This window comes from Homo sapiens, chromosome 8 (genome assembly GCF_000001405.40).
Source record: "Homo sapiens chromosome 8, GRCh38.p14 Primary Assembly".
Classification (NCBI taxonomy): Eukaryota; Metazoa; Chordata; class Mammalia; order Primates; family Hominidae; genus Homo; species Homo sapiens.
This window is the reverse complement of record NC_000008.11, coordinates 93,280,013-93,300,060: the sequence shown is the minus strand read 5'-3', so window position 1 is coordinate 93,300,060 and position 20,048 is coordinate 93,280,013. Positions and strand designations below refer to the sequence as shown.

At 38.4% G+C, this 20,048-nt stretch overlaps 1 long non-coding RNA gene across 2 annotated transcripts in view, besides 7 other annotated features; it reads left to right on the top strand.

Annotated features, from left to right (window-relative positions):
* Window positions 1-20,048, top strand: part of LOC107986956 (uncharacterized) — a 90,023-nt gene that overhangs the window by 40,198 nt on the left and 29,777 nt on the right. Inside the window, exon 3 of one of the 2 annotated variants that reach the window (XR_001745997.1) lies at window positions 7,375-7,532. The exons of the other annotated variant lie outside the window; for it this stretch is intronic. This is a non-coding gene — a long non-coding RNA (uncharacterized LOC107986956). Of the gene's footprint in view, window positions 1-7,374; window positions 7,533-20,048 lie in introns of those variants that run through there. 2 annotated transcript variants of the gene reach the window in all.
* Window positions 7,113-10,870: a meiotic recombination region, noted in NCBI's record as "this region was identified as a recombination hotspot within the HapMap CEU population". NCBI's record gives the evidence for it as "EXISTENCE:nucleotide sequencing assay evidence [ECO:0000219][PMID:20981099]".
* Window positions 7,113-12,076: a biological region, named in NCBI's record as "meiotic recombination hotspot K".
* Window positions 8,122-10,696: a meiotic recombination region, noted in NCBI's record as "meiotic double-strand break mapped by DNA meiotic recombinase 1 chromatin immunoprecipitation followed by single-stranded DNA enrichment and sequencing in the germ cells of some male individuals with the PRDM9 A/A, PRDM9 A/B and PRDM9 A/C genotypes". NCBI's record gives the evidence for it as "EXISTENCE:chromatin immunoprecipitation-seq evidence [ECO:0000229][PMID:25395542]".
* Window positions 8,201-12,076: a meiotic recombination region, noted in NCBI's record as "this region was identified as a recombination hotspot within the HapMap YRI population". NCBI's record gives the evidence for it as "EXISTENCE:nucleotide sequencing assay evidence [ECO:0000219][PMID:20981099]".
* Window positions 8,827-10,226: a meiotic recombination region, noted in NCBI's record as "crossovers mapped in sperm cells of males of European and African ancestries; recombination frequencies vary with PRDM9 genotypes, with PRDM9 A/A > PRDM9 A/N, where N is a non-PRDM9 A allele. Low recombination frequencies are observed with some PRDM9 alleles.". NCBI's record gives the evidence for it as "EXISTENCE:DNA detection assay evidence [ECO:0005519][PMID:18650392, PMID:20818382]".
* Window positions 9,168-9,180: a nucleotide motif, noted in NCBI's record as "nucleotide motif; similarity to the predicted 13-mer PRDM9 A binding motif (LD hotspot motif), CCNCCNTNNCCNC".
* Window positions 9,524-9,536: a nucleotide motif, noted in NCBI's record as "nucleotide motif; similarity, but not exact identity (7/8 nucleotides), to the predicted 13-mer PRDM9 A binding motif (LD hotspot motif), CCNCCNTNNCCNC, found near the center of the hotspot". NCBI's record gives the evidence for it as "COORDINATES:motif similarity evidence [ECO:0000028][PMID:18650392, PMID:19165926]".

The following is a 20,048-nucleotide window of genomic DNA, read 5'->3' as shown; positions in this document are numbered from 1 at the left end:
CAGGTGAGGCGCAAGAGGTGCGTAGGCCACAAAGTTTCACTCTCAGTCATGCAAGTGAAGACCCTGCTGACACTACACATAAACAGCCCTGATGCCGAGTGCCTCCTGAAATTAAACTTCTGCTCTAGGTACTCCTCTTACTTAAACCTCGTGCTGTCCCGCTGTCTATCCTACCAGGACTTCACACCTGGATACAGCAGGAACCTCTTCATAAGCCTCTCTGCTGCTCTCTGCCTTCCTGCGGTTATTTCCACCACATTGACAGCTGATCCTATTAAAGCATGAGTGAGATCATGTCAGTCCTGTTCTCAAATCCTCCAGTGGCTTCTCATCAAGTAAAAGTAGATGGGGCCACATTGGTCTGCCAGGTGCTGATTGGCCTGCCTCACCATTTCACGCTGACTTCATCTTCTTCTACATTACACCTACTCACCCTGCTGCAGCTTCAGTACACCAGACGTGATCTGACTCAGGCCTTTGCATTTGGGAATCCTTCTGCATGGAAAGCTCTTCCCTTAGATCTTCCTCATTTCTTCCAGCATTGAACTCAAGTGCCATTTTGTCAGGGAGACCTGCTTGGCCAGCCTATCTACAATGTCAACACACCGCCTTAGTCTCACATTCCCTCCCCTGACTTTTTTGTTTTTCTTTAGCGCGCGTGTGCACACCCACACACACGTGCATATTTAGCTTATATATATTCTATCCCTACCACTCCCCACTCCCACCGGATTACAAGTTCCAGGTGGGCAGGGATTTCTGGGTCCTTCGATGTATCTAACACTTGTATTATCAGTGCCAGGAACTCAATAAATACTAACTGAATGATTGAACACTGCATCTACGGATGGATGGGTGCATTTATCTATCCACTTATTTATTAATTTTACTCTGCTTTTTGGCATATGCCTTTCCTCAGGACCTAGTCAGCCAAGAAGGCTGAGGCAGTCTTGCTGCACTCAGAATTGCTACCCACCCATTTCCAGCTCCCAGTGTCATCCAGGCAACCTCATGATTCCATACACCCTGTCCCCATGATCTTCCAGATATTTCTCAAAACTCCTCAATCATAGGGCACACCACAAGTGAAACCTCTAGTATATTAAAATGGATAAAAATGAATGAACTCCCATGTATGAAAGAGATAAAGATCTTTTATAGCAAGATTTTGAAATTAGATAGCAACTAATTCTGAGATCCTCATCAAACTTCTTAATATATACCTAGATATATGTAGGAAGGAAAAAAAAACTTTTTTACCAAATGTTAAACATTTCTTTTATAGTGAAAAGTCAGTACACTAGATCTTTTGTTTCATTAAAGCAAAATATATATATATATATATACGGGAGTGACAAATCTAGTATGTTAAAATTTATAATAATTTTATAAAGGCTAGAACCATAGACTTTTTGATGGGTATGGGCAGGTTGTGTCTTTCAAACAGAATTAGTTTTCAAAATTCCTGTGACGTTAGTGGAAATTGCTCACTACTTTGCTCTTCAAATGGTATGCTTGGTTCTTGAGAAAAATTTTTTGAAAGCCTTTATTTGATTCTTGACAGCTGTGCGTTTTTCTAGGCTGCCAGACGAGACTGAATCTTGTCTAAATGTAAATACCTGGTTACTTGATTCTCTGTCATGGAGGGCAGTTTATTCTTTTTGCAGGAAGCCTTGATTTTCAAGGAGGAAGTGACCAAGGGCCTTCATTAGCAGGCAGGCTTCAAACTGTTTCCAGGCTCTTTGTTTACTTCTATAGAGCAGACTTTATTTTCATGCCCAATAAGTTTGACAAAGCAGTAAAATCAGTCCGGTTAAATGGGTCACCAATACAGGTGGGGAGCCCATTCTGGTCTTGCAAAGTACAAAAGTGCTGCTCCCATGAATACGGATGCTCGGAGAGCTCAAGCTTCCGTTTTCCTTGGGCAATTATGTTCACAGAGTGCACATTTTGGGCTGTGGGGAGAGGCGGGTTTAGAAGGAGGATCAGCTTTGACTTAGTCTTATACGATCTTAACAGCTTGGATGAGGGAAACTGAGAACTGCCTCTAATAAAATACACATGTCACATACATACTCATAAGGCCGTTAAATGCTTGTAGTTTTTTTTTGCGGTGGGGGGGAGTTGGAGGGTTGTGAAATTGCACAATTTATGCTGTCATTTTTGCAGCACTTCTAGTGAAGTATCTAGGTGTTTCTTCTAATATCTCCATTGCAACTTCCAAATCATAGTCTTCTTGTGTTAGCTGAAAGCATTAAAACCAGAAATTATCATAATAGTGCTATTTACCCCTCATTTATGGAGCTACTAGCGTTATTTTTCCACTGACTTTACAGAATGCATTTCAACCAGCAGTACTTCTGGTTTGGTTGATGAAACTCGATTGTACTTAAAAAACACGGTTGGGCATTGTATCAGAAGACTAAACCAGCAGGCTTGTCATTTCACAAAAGGGACTTCCAGAGGTTGCAGTCCCTATAATCGGAGAGTATTTCATTTGGTGTTTGAGGCTGTGGACTAATGCCTTATTTCGCAGCTAATCATCTCCATGTGCTTATGTAGCTGGACCAGTGTTTCAATGAAGACTGCACATTTTAACAGCACTGCAAACTAGATGTAAGAAATTCTATTCTGCCTTACGTCAAAACAGACCTGAAAGTGGGGGATGGGTATGGTATAAACACTCAAAGAGTTCCTTAGTGTGAACCAAAAGGTTGAAAGAATAAAGTGGGGTATGTGTGTGTATGGATGTGTGTGATAACCCTAAGGCTGTTAGAGCAGTTTTACTTCATTGATGTTTTTTTCTAAGCCACAGCACTTGGAGACTCTGAACTCACAAGCAGCCTTGATTATGGTGTTTGTGACACTGCCACAGGGTCTTTGCATTATTTATCTCAGTCTGCTTTACCCATCCAGCTTGCTGGGAATATTTTCAGATGGAATCACTAATTAGCACATATGTGGGAACTTCTCAAAGCATTTGGGCCCCCTCCTCATTACTTTTTAATTTTTCTCTATTTGCCTAACGTATGTCAAAGATAAAATTTTAAATGATGGATTGGGGGAACTTTCAGACTGAAATGCCCATGTTCTATGGGAAAAAGATTAGTCAAGTAAGTGAACTTTTATATGATCAGAAAGCAAGCCATTTAAATGTGTACTAACGGAGAGTGAAGTTGGCTTGGCCCATACGGTGTTCTATGGATTATTTTATTAGTTAACCACCAGGAGAGCTTTCTAGAATTGCCTCACAAATATTTCAACAATTCTGTAAACTGTGCTTTATTTCTGGCTGCACAACCTGACTTTGCTAGACCATAGTACCCTACAGCCTTCTTCACCTTCCTATGCTTTAAGTTCTACACACTTTCAGCGTGATATTTTCCTTATTAGATCATAAGGCACATATTTAAGAACTGGTCTTAATGTTTTTTTAATTTTAAAACACTAAGAATAATGTGAAAATAAGGTTTCTGAATCTTTGCATCTCCTTTCCTAGGTTTTTTCTTATCTATGTTAAAAATGAAGTTTTCTCCCATGTCACATAGCAATACATGATAGGAAATGTGAATTCTTAGGCAATGGTATTTTTAAGATGACAGAAAAATCTGGGTTCAACCAGAAGAGAAAATACTTTTACTGGGGAGAAAACCCATAGGAATATTTAAAAATGCATGGTCAAAATGAAACAGATCTCTTAACCAAAGTATTCAGACTTGGCAAAACTATGTTCAATTGGATAGGATGTTATTTTCCAAGTAATATAGGCCTACCAAATATATATTTTGTAAGTATAGCAATAGAATATGTGTGTGTGTGAGTGTATGTGTGTAAGAATCATTGGATTGTTGTTCCTAAGGGATTTGCTACACAGTTTATTTATTACAGTTATGTATATATTCCAGAGAACTTAGTGTAAAAATGTGTGGAAAACTAAATATGTGTGGAAAACCATCAGGGTATTCTCTGTGGAATTCTAAAAACAAATAAGGTCTGTTAGACGGTTGAGTGTAACATTAGGTATAAAGTATATAGTTATTTGGTCAAGTAGCCAAGTTATAATTGTCATCTAGAAGATCTAATCAATGATACTGATTGAAGAGTTTTTTTAAAACCTACTCTCAATAGCTTCTTTTTGCATATATTTCTAGTGTCTTAAGACCTAGTGTTTAAAGCTTGGTATGGAATAGAGACTTAAGATTTACTTATCCATTGTGGTTTTAAAGCAGTGGCTATATGTTCAGGAAAGGGAAGGTGTTTGGACTCACCTTATATGGCAGATTCAATTCTTTCACAATGGCTGCCTGCAGACTTAGTAGGAAAATGTGTTGAGATCTAGGAGTAACATCTGCTGTTGTTACAGTAAAAAGTTGAGTGGCAGTAACAATACAAATGTCAGTCATTTTCCACCTCTTGTCTAAAAATTTATACTCAATTGTGAGATATTGCTATTTTCACAGCTGAGTTACAGATGAAAAGACTGTATAGCATTTGTTCCAAATTTAATTCATTTCAAGATGCTCTAAATCTGTTTTGTCCAATATGGTAGCCATCAGCTAAATGTGAGTATTGAGCACTTCAAATGTGTGGCTGGTCCAAATTAAGCTATGCTGTATCTGTAAAAATACATATTGAATTTCAAAAACTTAGTAAGAAAACAAGAATATAAATATCTTGTTAATATTTTTTATATTGTTACATTTTAAAATGGTAATACTTTGGATATATTAAGTTAAATAAAGTATATCATTAAGATTAATTTCACCTATTTATTTTTGCCATTTTTCCAGTGTGGCTACTAGAAAGCTTAAAATTACGTAAATGACTCACATTTCTGGCTCACATTGTATTTCTATTGGATAGTGCTGCTCTAAATTAACATCTTCTCTTCTTTCATTAGTTCTAATGTTTAAATATTGTAACCTTTAAAGACATATTGTGGTTTCTTTTCTACAAATATGTGAAAAGGAATTGTTAATTTTTTTTCCCAAAATATCTAACCAATTTTCCAGGCAGCTTTATGCCTCTAGTCTCTCACTGTGGCTCTCCCTGTTCTGTCTGGGATGCCACCATACCCTGAAGGGCTCAGACTTACAGTGAAAGCTACTCACTTATTTTCCAAGAATTCTCTCAAGTATCAGTATGGTGTAAGGCCTAAAATTAAGGCCCAATATTAGGTGCTGCCTTGATATCTGGTGAGATTAAGAGGGTCTCAACTAACCTAATCCTGAAGTCTCCTTCCCATGCTGCTCCTGCAAATAAGGTGCTGTAGCCAAACAACCCTCTTTATCAAGGAGATCAAGTGAAGGTAGAATTGGCCGTTGTTACACAACCTGTATAATGTATCTCCTTCTATCTTAGTAACCAGACCACTCAATTGCAGTCATTTGCATGTGCATCTATGCCCTTCTCTTAGAAACTGAAAGCTGCTTGAAGGTAGTAACAGTTTCTCTGTGTTTTTATATTTCTGGATCTGAGAACAGTGCCTGGTACACCATAGGTACTCAGTAAATGTTTTATAAATGAATTTGAAACCCAGGGCTCTCCCAGGCAAGGTTTAAGTTCAAAATACTCTCCTTCACCGATGTGTATAGCCTCTGGCCCCGAGGATCTTCAGGGTTCAGAAGACAGAATTCATGATTTATATTTCTCAGCTTTAGTTTATTTTTCAGTCTGCAGATTGTCCTCTATTTAGAATTAAATTAACTTAAAAAGAAAGCGCAAGTATACCTCGTTTTAAAATCTGTTGTTTGCCTAGTGATTTAATTTTCAGCCTAGATATGATTTGGCCTCCCTGTTGGATGGTGTCTGCTTTCCATTTGCTGGGGGTTGTTCACAAGGTCCAAGGACATGGCAGGAGGCTGCCAGCAGGACAACAGCAAGCCTTGGGAAAGCCAGGCCCCATGCATACTTGTTAACTTCAGAGTCACAGCACTTGCCTCTCAGCCTGCTGCATTCGCTCCACTTCAAGGAGGAAGGTGTGCTTTTTGTTCTACAAAGCGTCTTGCATTATTTTTTAAACATTTTGCCTTTGGGACATACCCAAGTTCTGCACATTTTCCCCCCTTAATTTTTAAACTGACACACACTTCAAGGGAAATTGAATCCATATGTTTCTGATTCATTTACACACAACTCATCAAAATGTTGTTTTAAAAAAGCTAAACTCAAATCCCACGGGGGCTGAGTGGGTTTCAGACTTGGCTGAAGCCTCTCCCTTCTCTGATCATGGCTGGATATGGGCAAACCAACCACAGTGAAACAGGAACCCTCACACCTCCCAGAATTTGAACTGAATAGCACCTTTCTTTGAGGTTTAGCTAAAGAGAGCCTAGTGACTTCTTACCTTGCAGTCAGCCTTCATCTGCACAGCTGCCATGGCCTGTGCTTGTCTTAGTACAGACTGCCTGGAGAAAACCAACAGAAAAAGGAGCTCTTTACATTGGTCTAGCCAAACTGGAATGATCAGAAATCTTCTGGGGAGACTGCTTATGCATGCTGTTCTGCCTGATCGTGGACTCATAAAATCATGGCTCTGGCAGGGACGTTGCGAAAATCATGTTCTTACCTTCAAAGAAGCCTCAGAAAATTCCTAAGCAAACAGTAAAGCTATCCTAATTACTACCACAAGTAATATTATATAGCAAAGGCCATTTCTTATTTCCTTTCAGGTAATTCTGGCCAAAGCTCAACAATTTTCAATGCCAGTAACTTTCTCAAATTTTAGATACATATAAAAAGTTTGTATTCTTGCCCACAACTAAATTCTTGAGGTTCCACTAGTTCTTGGATAATGATCTGTGAAATTGACCCATTATGCTGTCTGGTTTCCGATAACCATTGGAACTAACGAGAGACTGGCAGGGCAGCCTGCAACAAGAGGCTTTGTCTGGGCTTAAGAACTGTTCCCTTTTGCCTGAGTTGATCAGGTAGCTTAGTTGGAATGGGTAAAAGAACCAGGAGCATCTAGAGATTTCCATCATGAAAATGTCCAAGGCAATTGTAAGCATAAATAACAGCGTTTTGGGTTCTATTCTTCCATTGCTAATACAGATAACAGGAATACCAGATGTTTCACAAACCACTGGAAGGTTAGCTAGGTGACTGAGATGCATGAAGGTAAGCAGGAATTCCTAAACCTCCAAGAAGGTTCAGGCCCCTGAAAGCAATACATTTGCTAGCTGTCAGAGGGGGCCCCATACACACTCTCTGACTGACACTCTAGAAGAATGGGTGAACTTTCCAATAGACTTTTTGATTAATGTCAATTAATGTAACTGCTCTGAAATGGTGGGGTCTCATTAGTATCAAGAAGTTCTGTTAGCTGGGACCAACATGGCATCAGGCATTCAGCTAAATTTCTGCTTTCCCCAGGGGCAACCAGCCCAGTTCAATTTGCCTGGGGGCTTTTGACTCTACAATCTCTTCCAACATTAAACAAGTGAATCCTGCGCACCCTGGTGAGTTCGCAAACCCTGACAGATGTTTCTTTCCAAAAACATGCAGGCCCAACATCCCTTGAAAACCTTAAATGTATGATGTTCTTTCTCTCTCTCTCTCCTAACTTTCTCCACGTTGTTTATTTCCTCATTTTACTAAAATGCATAGTAAGCACCCTGTTGAGGTTGGCCCTCAGATAACATTACATGGATATATTTAAGGTTTTCAAAATTAGTTTATTATTGTTTTTTAATTTATTCTTTCATTTATTCCAGGTTAGAACTGTTTAGTGGCCATGGAATATTCCTCTGGACAATTCTTCTGTGGCATCATATTTTGATCTAAATTTATTATAGGGGTTGGTTGGTGTAGCTAAACATAAAGGTACAATGGGACATATCACAAGGGCACACTTTGTATAGGTTCCAAAGACAGCTTTTAAAATCAGCTGAATCACTTATCAACTATATTAGAAATAAGCACATTGATTTCTAAGTATTCAGAGTCTAGATAAAGATAATTATCTTCATAACCTCCTGCTGTAATCAGGATATAGTTAGGCCATGGGATTTGTGTCCCAACCATTTGAAGAGTACTAATAATACAAATATTAGCAGCTAATACCTGTGGTACCCTGATATGTGTCCAGACCTACACTTAGCACACTATGTACATTACCTTATTAAACAGAGACAACGAGGTGAGGTGGGTATTATCACATCTGTTACACAGATGAGAACACTGAGGCTCACAAAAGTTGGGTCATTTATTCAAGAAGCAGGGCTAGTAAATAGAACAACAGAGATTTGGATCTAAGCTTTTCTGATTCCAAAGCCAGGTGATATGGTGTGGATGTTTGTCCCCTCCAAATCTCATGTCGAAGTGCGATTCCCAATGTTGGCGGTGGGACCTGGTGGAAGGTGATTGGATCATGGGGGCAGATCCCTCATGAATGACTTAGCGCCCTCCCCTTGGTGATGAGTGAGTTCCTGCTGTCAGTTCACAGGAGATCTGGTTGCTTAAAAGGGTGTGGCCCCTCCCCCACTCTCTCTTGCTCCTGTTCTCACAGTGTAACATGCTGGCTCCTGGTCAACTTGCACCATGATTGAAAGCTTCCTGAGGCCACACCAGAAGCAGATGCTGACACTATGCTTCTCATACAGCCTACAGAACTGTGAGCCAGAAAACTTTTTTCTTCACAAACAACCCTGTCTCAGGTTTTCCTTGATAGTGACATGAAAATGGACTAACACACCCGGGAAATTAAACAAGAAAATGAAATATAATAAAATTAAAATAGTCTTGGCTGGGAGTGGTGGCTCACTCCTATAACTCCAGCAATTTGGGAGGCTGAGGCAGGCAGATCACGAGGTCAGGAGTTTGAGAGCAGCCTGGCCAACATGGTGAAACCCCATCTCTACTAAAAATACAAAAATTAGCTGGGTATGGTGGTAGGCACCTGTAATCCCAGCTACTTGGGAGGGTGAGGCAGGAGAATCAATTGAACCCAGGAGGCCAAGGTTTCAGTGAGCCGAGATAGTGCCATTGCACTCCAGCCTGGTCGACAAGAGCAAGACTCCATCTCAAAAAAAAAAAAAAAAAAATAGTCTCAGAAATATTAAGCAGTGCTGAGAGTTCTACTTACTATACTTTGAATATTTGAAAACATATTATAAGAAAAAAGGGGCCGGGCACAGTGGCTCACACCTGTAATCCCAGCACTTTGGGAGGCCAAGGCGGGTGAATCACCTGAGGTTAGGAGTTCAAGACCAGCCTGGCCAACATGGTGAAACCCCCTTTCTACTAAAAATTTATGTAATTAGCCAGGCAGGGTGGCAGGCACCTATAATCCCAGCTATGTGGGAGGCTGAGGCACGAGAATTGGTTGAACCCAGGAGGCTAGAGGTTGCAGTGCGTTGAGATTGTGCCACTGCACTCCAGCGTGGGTAACAAGAGTGAGACTCCATCTAAAAAAAATAAAATAAAATACAAAAGGACTATTGCAAAGGTTATTCTGCTTTTTAGGTGAAAACCATGAGGTAAATAATCAGATTTAGTTGACAATGCACTTCCTCTGTGATGCCCTCCCTGATCACTAGGCAGGGTGCCCTCTCTCTTCTCTATAGAGTATCCTCCTATTTCTTTCTACAATTCCCTTTATGTGCTGCTTTTTTATTATTTTTTAATTTTTTTTCCTGGGTCTCTGTCACCTGCCAGACTATATTGCCCTCCAGGGAAGGGTCGGTGTCCCGCCTGGTACAGTGCTTGGCATGAAACACATGCCCTCCAGCAGGTGTAGGTGAATGGGGACATTGAAAAAGCTGATCAGTCTGTTGTGACGTATGAAAGCAGTGGAAAGAAGGAACAGAACAGTGCCCAGAGATCTTTGGGGCTTGAGAGCTGATTAGAGCTGGAGGCTTTCATGAGATGGGGAACCAGTGAAGGACGCTTATGAGTAGTTTGACATAACTATTTTTCCATTTCAAAAAGTCACTTTGTAAGTAATGCAGAGGATGGTCTGTGAAAGGGAAGAATATAGCAAAATAGAATGTGTTCACGATATCTGGTTCATGAATCAACCTGGTTCCAACGGCCACAATACAGCTTCTTGTAAATTCACTCTGCTGGTGATACCAAGAGTCCTGTGAAGACATAGTTTGCTCCCAACCCAGTCATGCAGATGAAGCTCACTAGGTAGCCAAGACACATTGAGGTTAGAGGACACGCAAAGCCTTCTAGATCCAGAAGCGTGCCGCTGTCCAAGCACAAGCCCCCCACAGCAACTCCTTTCGAATCCTTGATGCAGGGGACACTGCCATGGTAGTAAGTGCTCTGCAGGTGGATGGCTGCCCTCCAGGCTCACACTCCCCAGTGCCAGCCACCTGAGGCCCCAGTGCAGCTCCTCTGACCTCCCCCAGGAAATTCAGAGAATATCTGGTAAGGCTTTTAGGGTTTCTTCTGCTATGGTATCCACAGGCCCCCCTTTTTTTAAAGGCTGATGAGTGCAGGATTTGGGGTACTGGTGCTGGAGTCAGGCTGTCTGGGTTGGCATCTTGATGTTTGTACTGGGCAGCTGAAGATTTTGGTCAAGTTACCAACAGGCTGGGTCTTTATTGTCTCATATTGTAAAACCGCCACAAGAAACAACTGCGTTGTTTTGAACGTTAAATGACTAAACACGTGTAAAGTGCCTACAACAGTGCCAGACACGTGGTAAATGCTCAAGGAATAATGCTTTATTGTATTTTCATCATTTAGGGGGTCCTCCTGTTTGGATGAAGGAGAAATGTAAATGATTTTAATTCATATAGTTAGGGGATCCCTTCTGCAGAAATTACAGGACCCTGGCTTAGGAGTGGGATGAGCTATGGGGTGAGCCATAGAATTTGAGATACTTTCCAGCAGCTGGCCTAGAAGAAGAAGTCCAAAATGTCTTCCACAAGCAATGCTCTGTGAGGGCCTCAGGGAAGCCCTGTGTGATCAAGCAGATTTTTACCACAGAAGCCAGCCACCTACAGGTACTGATGGGCCTGCGGCTGGCAGCGATGCTTAGGACCCGGCCACACATAGGAAGATGTTCATTGAAACTTTTGCCACCCTACAGGTGGGGCAGGTGAGGTTCCGGAGTGACTAGGACATGTTCTGTTTCCCACTTATAGCAGCAAAGGGGACATGTTGCCAGGTGGGACATATACACCTCTATTGTATCAACCACTTCTTCCTGGTGTCCTAGCACTATAAGCAGAGTCTGTGATTTATGCTTTCAAAAATTATGATAAAATGTAAATAACAAATGCTCACCATCTTCACCATTTTAAAGTGTACAATTCAGTGCCATTACAGACATCCAAGATGTTACACAACCATCACCACCATCTAGTTCTAGGATTTCTTCATCATACCAAAAGCACTGTTCAAATTTGCAACTTCCAGACAAACCTTCAGGAGAGTGTCACCACCAGCTGTCATACACAATTTCCCCTCTCCCTCACCCCCTGGCAACCACAAACCTGCTTTCTGTCTCTAAGGCTTTGCCTAATTGGAATAGTTCATATAAAATGGAATCATAAAACATGTGGCCTTTTGTGCCTATCATCTTTTACATGGCATAATATTTTCTTTTTTTTTTTTGTCTTGGATAGGCATGATGGCATAATATTTTCAAGACTTATGTAAGTTTTAGCCTATACCTGTACTTCTTCCCTTTTTATGGCTGAATAATATTACATTGTATGGATGGATCACATTTTGCTTATCCATTCATCACAACTGGGTTTGTGGGAAATTGGCTAACCTTTCTCCTTAGTCAAAACTGGCCTGTGGTTGCCAAGTGGGCCTGAGGTTGTCAGGCCTTTCAATTTTTTCAAGATTCACCAGAAATCTATATATTATGGGATATTTCCTATTTTTAAAATGTTTTTCAGGATTTTACATTTTTAGAAAAAACACAATGTGTGCCATCTTATCTGTGCCAAAGGAAACATGTCTTTAGGTGAGGTCTGGCTCATGGGTCACCAGTTAGCAGTCTGGTTAACCTTCTATATAAACAGCCTCTCTTGGTGATATGTTCAGTGCTATTTGTCTTTATTATATTATTAGACAGAATTTTCCCAGCATCTTCCTATGTAGATGGTTCAATACATTACTCTGTATTATGAACTAGGTGTGATTTTTGCAGAGAAAGTTCTAGCTAACCTTTGAGCTATGTAGACTATTAGGAAAATAATCAATGCTTATTAAGAACTTATTTATTTAGACGAAACAGATCAAAATCTTGCTATGTCATGCTTTGTTGAAAATGAATGCTGTTGGCTGGTCCCAGCACAGTCTTTTGGTACAACGCAATAGACACCCCTCTACTTTCAGAGCACAGTACGTGACACAGGCGGACAAGCAAACATAATTAAACACTGGCCCAGATAGGGTTTTTCTTAATTAGTTATGAGTTTCTATAATGAAAATACCTGGAGATTTATCTGACTTCAAAGTCCCATTAAAGCTGTCCTGCTTTTGTTGCTTTGAAAATGTGGGAGTTTAGGACTCCTCGCCTCATGCTTCTTAATGATGATAATTATATGATATACTTAAAAGTGCTTTTGATCTTGGCCTCTCAAAGCACTCAAGTGAGGCATCAATTCCCTCAACCCCACTCTGAGGCAGGCCTTCCTTGTTTACGGGCAATGTGTGCTGACATGTGTGTCGCAGCCATTGCTGCTTCTGAGAGTATCTGCCAACAGCGCCAGTGAAAATGCACGGTTACACAGCTCAACTCTCCAGCCTTCATGTTAATTTGTGGAAATAATTGTAACAACTCACAATCGTGTTGTTTTACATAGCCCTTTATCTCATTTAAACAATAGCAAAACAATTATAGAAGAACCAAGTAATACAGCACCCACTGTTCCTATAAAAATAAGTAATAGAATCTCTCCTTCTTTCTTTTTCTTTTCCTCTTTCTAATAGTTTCTCAAGGCAGTTCACCAATCAGGTGACAGGTGAGTGGGGTAAATCTCCTTTCAGGCTGCAAAGAGCAATTCCCTACCTTCCCTGCAGTGCCCAACCATATTAATGAAACAATTTGGAGTATAGTGAATCTCTTTATACATCTGGAACTGATTTTGTTGACTTTGTCCCTTGCTAGAATGTTAACTTCTATGGTTTCTTCATCCCTGGGGCAGGCTACCAACAGGCATTCATGTCTATTATGGAAAAATGAATTGAAAGTTATATGATTAAAGCTTGGTTCGGACACAGGCTTTTTCAAGGAAATAAACTCTCTTATGGACAGGCTGAAATTGAGTGAGATAATCTTCTAACTGCTACATCTTTACCTAAAATGATTAACAAGTAGCCGATTTGAGCAGATGGTTCATGGGTCTAATTTGGGGAAACCTCTCAAGATCCACAGAGAAGAGAACTTGATATTTTGGCCTTAAGAACACAACCTGAAGAGTAAGCTTTTTTTATTTTTTATTTTTTCACAAGAAGACCCCAGAGTGCCATGCTATCCTTCTACAGCCATCTATGAAGTAAAGGGGCCAGGGTTATACTGACCTCAGGGACAAGCGTTATGAACACATGTAACCATGAACTTCTAGTATATTTGGAGAGATTGATGTAAGTAAAGCATACTCATTTTGTAGATCCAGATCCATGGAGAAACGACAGAATCAGTTAAAGAAACTTATGAGCAAAGTAAATAAAGCACAATACACACACACACACACACAACTCCATAGATCACACTTAAGATTTGTTAAAATTAGGCTAGCAGCAACAATGGAATTGTTGTAATTACTCTACCTGAATGTCTGTCTAAAATGTACATTTTTTAATCTCGAAGAGTCTGATGTGCTGTTTTTCTATGGTCAGAGTTTTAGAAAGTTAAGAAAAGGGAGTAACAGCAAATATTTACTATATTCTTTTACTATGTGCCAGAATTGTTCTAGGCTCTTTAGATGTAATCTTCACATCAGCCTTACAATGTAGCTGTTGTTGCTCTAGTTTAGAGATGCAGAAACTGAGATTCAGAAAGGTTAACTAACTTGCTAGAGGACAATGTTAATTTAAAAAAAAGCAGGATTATTACCCAGAGCTGTCTAAAGCCAAAGCTTACGTTCTTATCTGGTAGATTATTCTGCCTGGAGGATGCAATTTTAACTGGGAGACAGGGGACCTGGAACCAATAATGTTAGCACAAGAAAAATCCATCTCATATATTGTTCCTATGGAAAGGTAAACACACTCGTGCACACACACACACACACACATATACACAGAGAGAGAGAGAGAGACAGAAAGAGAGAGGTGGGGGGAGAGAGAGACAGAGAGAGAGAGACAGGCTATACCATCATATTTTGTAAAGTGGGCGTTAAATGAGTACTCAAAACATAGCTAATAATTCTTTTCTTTAAAAAAGAAAAACCCTGCATTAGAAAAGATTATTCAAAATTTGGAAATCAGGCAAATACAAGTCCTTGCGATGTCATACTGGCGCATTGTTTAACAGACCCTTCTAGGAATTAAATCTTTGCTTTACTTCCTATTTACTTTTGGTTAAGACCAACACTCTGTACATTAAGCTGTAGATTCTCATTCAGGAGAGATGTATATGATTTTTCCACAGAGAAGATAAGCCCAAAAGTTATAATTTTATTGTCTTAAAGGACATTGGCCAGGTTTGTCTTTAACTCAGCGAACTTATTTCAACATGCCTTTCGTGAGTTACTACGTAAATTTCTGCTCCTCAAATTCACCTTTGAGCCAGCTTTAGCACCTTGCCGGATGCCTCATTAATGAGTTCTATGAATTTTTGACATGTGCTGTTTATTTGTATAAGAGTCATGTTTTTAACTATTTTGAAAATTAAAATTTGATATCTGAGAAGGTTGAATAGGTGAAATGGATAAACCTGAGCTAGGATTTTAAAGACAGATCTAATAGAGAAGGCCCTCGATGAATAAAAACTAGAAGAGCAGGTGCATCATAAACCCCTTAAACATGTATAGCTTGAGCCACAATACTAAGTTAGCATCCCTCTCTGCTTGGGCAGGACCTCACTTCTTTGCTGAAGGAAGCTGGCTGGAGCCCATTTGCACAATGCATCAAACAGAAAGAAAAGCAGACTTGATTTCTAATGTTTTCCTAGGGAAACTGAAGAATAGCTACGCTTCCATCATGTCTTATCCTCTAAAACTGAACAGATGAGAATGAAGCTGATGTGCTGCTTGTATTCTAACAGAGACGGATAAGACACTCTGTTAATTCAGGAAGTCAAAGGCCAAATTATCCCAGCAGTCTCCTGAGATGATCTAAGTATATCTTTAGAGAAGTGTTTCTCAAGGATGAGATTTGGCCTGTTGGAGAGCAGCTGTGGCCCTTGTAATGGACTGCAAACGGATCCCAAAACATAAGCCATTTTTTTGAGTGTGAATTATGCACATTTCTTTTTTATTTTTATATGGCCAAGACTACTTGATAGAAATCTATCATGTTTTAATATTAAAAAGAAAATGAGATTTGCCACTCTATGTTGCATATATGCAGCCATATACAATCTTGGTGAGAGGAGAGACTTTGCTGTGTTCACTGCTGTAGCCCCAGCACCTGAAAAGATGCTTGATGCACCTGGTAGGCACTTAACTAGTGTGTATGTACTGAAATATTTGAGTAAATGAAGCCTCCTCCTTCACATAGACATAGGCATCACATTAGATTTCCCACGATTTTCAGGAAGGACATTTTGTTATTAGTACATCGGCAGTTTGTTATGATTTTCAATTGCTGCTAATCTTGTTTTAGAATGATAAATTCCTGTTAGTTTAGCTTTGTGAATTACTAATTTTAGCATGATGTGGGTTGTTTGATGAACCCTACAATATGTAAGTTTGCACATTTGCATCAACATTAATTTGATTTATAATTTTCCAATAAATAGATTTTAAGGCATGCCTATGATGAGTTCAAGAATGAGTTGTCTATACCTCTAGAGATAAAGCAGGCACGTGCATCATCTGCCAAATTGGTGCTGCCTATATGTTTGCTCTATTCAAATAACTTAAAAATGTACTATCAAAGTAAGTGTAACAAAAGTTCTAGATTATTTTTAACTTTATAAGTCATCATTGTATAATACAAAACTGTGTGTAAGCTTGTAATTAACTTGTTCATTTTGTCATCTTCTTTTCTTAGTTGTTGGGTTCTTCATCCATTGAAAGTTAGAAACAAGTAGGAATGGAAGACATGGGTCTTTGGCCTACCTATGTAGAATATGATGTCTTCCACCCCACCTTAGCTGTCTGTGTTCACAAAAAAAGTCAGAACCACTGATTTAGAGCCTGATGCTCATATGTTTAAACTCTGGCCAAAAGTATCATCTTAAAAATTCTTTGGAGAACACCTCCATGTTCAGCTACTTCTTGTCTAATCAGATTCTCCTTTGTATTTGTTTCCTGAGGCTCCTGTAACAAACCATTGCAAACTGGGTGGTTTATAGCACCAGAAATTTATTCTTCCACAGTTCTGGATGCCAGAAGTCTGCAATCCAGCTGTTGGCAGGACTGGTCCCTCCTGGAGGCTCTGAAGAAGAATCTGTTCCATGCTTTTAAGAAGCCTCTCTCCTAGCTTCTGATGGCTACTGGTAATAGTTGGCTTTCTGTGGCTTATAGGTACATCCCTCTAATCCCTTCTTCATATTCATATGATACTCTCCCCTGTATGTCTGTGTCTGCATCTGAATTTCTCTCTTCTTCTAAGGATACCAGTCACTGTATTAGAGCCCACCCTAGTCCACAATGACTTCATTCTAACTTGACTACATCTGCAATGACCTTACTGTATTTTCAAATAAGGTCACATGCACTGGTACTGAGGATTAGAACGTGGACATATCTTTCTTGACAACACAATTCAATCCACAATATCCTTATTTACTAATTATTTTTCTGTCATTAATCTTCTTGCCTCTGTGTCTCGTCTTCCAGTCCTCAATTAGCCCCACTTGATTGGTGAGCTGGAGTTTGAAAGCCCCATGGAACCTTCCAGCTTGACCCCCACCCACCACTGTCCAGCCCACAGACACCTAACATGGAACTTTGCTTCCAGAGTAGACCTTTGGTATGTGTCTGCTGGTGTAACTTAGTGGCTCTTAGCCTCCGAGCAATATTTTCCTTATTTGAAAAAATCAATACGACAGAATGACAGCTTAAAAAATGATCACTATCACAAAAATGATACCAATTTAAAATGGATTTTAATTTTTTTTTCACCAAAAACAGCCATATTCTAATGGTTGCTGGAGAAGACAAAGCATATATTGTCAGTCCATGAATGTATTTCTCTGTGGCTTAGTGCCTCACAAGGCCTTCAGAGGCATGTGTGCTGGCCCAGTCATAGGACATACCCTACCATATCTTTTAGTTTAATTGTGCTTCAGACAGATTGAGTTAAAACACATGCGTTAATTTTTTTTATCATGACTCCAAGGTCATTTTTCTTATGTTCACTGGTATTTTTCAAAATAATGAGTTAATCACAATCACTCTCTTGAGACCCTATAGTGGCTGCAGAGTTGAAGTTGGGGCTTACTTGCCTATTTGCCGTTTCTATGCCAATTAGTGCACACAGAGCCTGGATGTTTTGCTTTAAGAAATCACTGGGATTCTTCTCCAGACAGGAGGGGTATGGTTACAGCCTGGCCTCATCATCAGAAGGTATTTATCAAGTGAGTGTTGTTATCTTAGCATTTGCCACTTTATACTGGAATTATCTGCTTGTATTGATCTATACACGAGATTGGAAGGTATTGAAAAAAACAAACCATATCTTACACAATTTTGTATTACTAGTAGAGTGCCTGGAATATGAGTCACTCAATAAATGTTTGTTGACGCGAGTTGAAGTATTTTCAAATGCATTGCTCTAGATGACACAGAGCAGGGGATAATCCAGAGAGACAAAATGGCCTCCCTTGTGTTATTTTTCTAAATGTTATCTAAACAAGAATAGATCAAAGAATAATTATAAAGAAAGGTCGAAGGTAAAGCCTTGAGAAAAGTATACTAGGCAACTATGAGCTGAAAGAAGGTTGGGTACAATATATTATAATATCAGACATATTGACTTAAAAGTAAAAGCAATATATACATTGAATATATTTAAGATAGAATATTAGAACAACACAATTAATAAACTTTATGTAATGAACATGTATGAAACCCTATAACCAAAAAATTTAGAAATTCATATTTTCTCAAGTACACGTGGAATATTTCTTTAAAAATTAACATATAGTAGGCCAAAACACAAATATTAACAAATACCAAAGAAGCAGTATAGTTAAGATCACATTTTTTTTTACCATAATGGAATAATATTAGAAATGAGAAATAAAAACAAGGCCAAAAGAATGCCATGCATTTGGAGACCAAAAAACACTCTGCTAAATAATGCATGGATTAAAGAAGAAATCATAATGGAAATGTTAAAAGTATGTAGAAGGAAAATAATAAAATTATCAAATATCAAGGTTTGTGGGATAAAGCTAAATTAGTGGTTGAGGGATTTAATAATTTTAAATGTCTATTAAAAACTAAGAAACACAGAAAAAGTTAAAATTAAAAGCTAAGTTTTCAAGTCAAGAAATTGGAAGAAGGGCATCACAGTCAATCCAAAGAAAATAGAAAGAAGGAAATATAAATCAACATAAAGAAATAATTTTTTAAAGCAATGGAATTGACCAAAAAGCAAAAGCTGATATTTGTGAAAAAACTGCTAAGAGTAAGAAACTTTTGGCAAAATCAAGGAATAAAGCAAAAAAGTAGAAAATAGTAATATTAGAAATTTTAAAATAGAACACAACAGCAAAGTAGAAATGAAAAACACAAAAGAATCCTATTCATGATTTATGCCAATAAATTCTAAGCAGATTAAATGATTTTGTAAAAAATAATATCAATTGCCAAAATGAACCCAAGAAGTATTGGAAAAATCTGAATATACTAGGAAATTTCCACCAGTGATTAAAAACCTACCATGAAAGATACCACAGGTAGGGGGTTACAAGTGAGTTTTCTTTTAAAGAATAAGCAACTCATATCTTGCATAAATCGTTTCTGTAAACAGAAAAATCAGAAAGTCTTTATACCAAATCCAGAAGGTACAAGGAAAGAAAATTATAAACTAACCCCATCTATAATGATGAAGATAACAATTGACATTTAAATTGAACATTTACTGGTATGCTATAAGCACTTTGCATGCCTTATCTTCTTAATGCTAACAACAACCTTATGAAGTTGGTACCATTCTTGACTCTAATTCCCAGCTGAGAAAACTGAGGCATAAATTGGTTAAGTAACTTATCTAAGATAATAGCTAAAAAATGGCAGAACTTGGATTTTAATGCAAAAATTATAATTTAAGTGAATGAAATCCAGGTGTGTGTGTAATCTACTGCATTAACTGACCAAATGAAAAAGAACTACATTAATATCAAAAAGAAAACATGATGAGAATTATCACTATGGCTCCACACTGAAATAGAAGTTCTATCCATCATGGTAAATAAGAAAAAAAAAATAAGATACATACAAACTGGAATGTAAGAAATAAAAATAATTGTTATTGACACGTGATAATGATTGCCTACACAGAAAAACTAAGGAAATCTACAAATTACTGAAGTAATAAGAATTCAGCAATGATGTTAGATACATAGCCATGTGAAACATGGCTTATATATAAACCATGCCAATAGTATTCATGTTCTTATAACTAGGAATAGTAGATTAGAAAACATAATTTTAAAAAAGAAAAACATAGCTATTAAAATAATTGTAATGGATGGGAAAATGGAGAACAATCATGATGTAAATAAAGTTAAAAAAAGCAAAAAAAATTATACCTATGTCAGCATTTTGTTTAAACTATATAAAGCCCATTATTCCAGGGGTTTTGGTTGTGATTTTTTGGTATATGTTTATGAAGTCCAATAAAACATCAAATAAGTCATGGGAATTTGAGAGATATTGTTACTTCACAATTTCCTGCATTTTTCAAATGTTTATATTAAGACATATTTTGAAAGTCAGTAAAAATCTCATGAAAAA